The sequence below is a fragment of the Homo sapiens genome, chromosome 21 (assembly GCF_000001405.40).
Source record: "Homo sapiens chromosome 21, GRCh38.p14 Primary Assembly".
In the NCBI taxonomy this organism is placed as follows: Eukaryota; Metazoa; Chordata; class Mammalia; order Primates; family Hominidae; genus Homo; species Homo sapiens.
The window spans coordinates 34,192,421-34,193,666 of record NC_000021.9 but is presented as its reverse complement, the minus strand read 5'-3'; the positions used below and the strand labels follow the sequence as shown (position 1 = coordinate 34,193,666).

Here is a 1,246-nt window from a genome sequence, read left to right as displayed (position 1 = left end):
ATCTCCCACCAGGTCCCTCCCACAATAAGTGGGAATTATGGGAGCTGCAATTCAAGATATTTGGGTGGGGACACAGCCAAACCATACCACTGGACGCAGGCCATATCACATAGACACAGCCCAGCTGCAGGGTCTGAAGCACCTAGTACCAAGACGGTGTAGGGGTGAGAGACAGGGAGGGGATGTCTGTGGGAATTGTTTCGGTTCACGCTGTATACCTGGAAGTCCGATTTGTCTGATCTTAAGATAGCCATTCCAGTCTTCTATGCTTCTATGCTTGGGTTTGCAGAATACAGCACATCCTTTACCGTCTTGAGCCCATCCATGTCCCTATCTTTAAAGTGTGTCTCTTTGTAAACCTTTTTGTCATAATTAGACTGGGCCATGGGCTACAAAAATAATAATAATAATAATAATAATAATAATAATAATAATAATAACATTTATTTGGTAGAAGAGGGATGTGGTATTTACAGGGCAGAGAAAGTCCCCAAGAGTCATAAGATGAGTCATTAACATCACTGGCATCAACTAAATGTCTTCTTAATCAATGAGAAACCAGGATACAGGTGAGAAAGAATTAGAGCGCAGACTCGAAGTTGAGGTCATGGGGACAGCAGCTTCTGTGGCTCCTGGATACCCTGCGTGCCCAACCACAGGACTCATGTGAGAGTTTTTCAACCGGGAAGAGGGTTTGAGAGTGTGTGTTTGTGTCCACCTGCCAGGTGGGCTTAGCCCATGCACTGCCCGTTTCCCTAACAACAGGGCCACCAACCATGAAACCCCTCCCAGGGGCATGAACACTCTCCTGTGGCCTTTAGTCCACACCTACAAATGTCATGCACCACCCACAGTGAGAGACAGAGACCAAGAAATCCCCACAAACGTAGCTAAGAAATAGCTTTCATTTCCTGTGTTCAGTCGTTTTCAAACCAGATGCACCTACCTGGGAAGATTTTTAAGTGCCAATGCCTGGGTCACATCCCCAGGTGACTCTGCTTCTTTGATCTGATGGTGGGGTGAGGTATCTGTATTTTATTTACTTATTTTTATTTTTTTGAGACTGTCTCTCACTCTGTATTTTTTTGAGACTGACTCTCACTCTGTCACCCAGGCTGGAGTGCAATGGCACAGTCTTGGCTCACTGCAAACCCCACCTCCTGGGTTCAAGCGATTCTCCCACCTCAGCCTCCTGAGTAGCTGGGATTACAGGCACCTGCCATCATGCCTGGCTAATTTTGGTATT

General features: G+C 46.2%; 1 annotated feature.

The window, feature by feature from the left end:
* Positions 945-1,034: an enhancer, noted in NCBI's record as "active region_18394". NCBI's record gives its function as "activates an Ori minimal core promoter by ATAC-STARR-seq in GM12878 lymphoblastoid cells {active_cell/tissue: GM12878}" and the evidence as "EXISTENCE:reporter gene assay evidence [ECO:0000049][PMID:35858748]".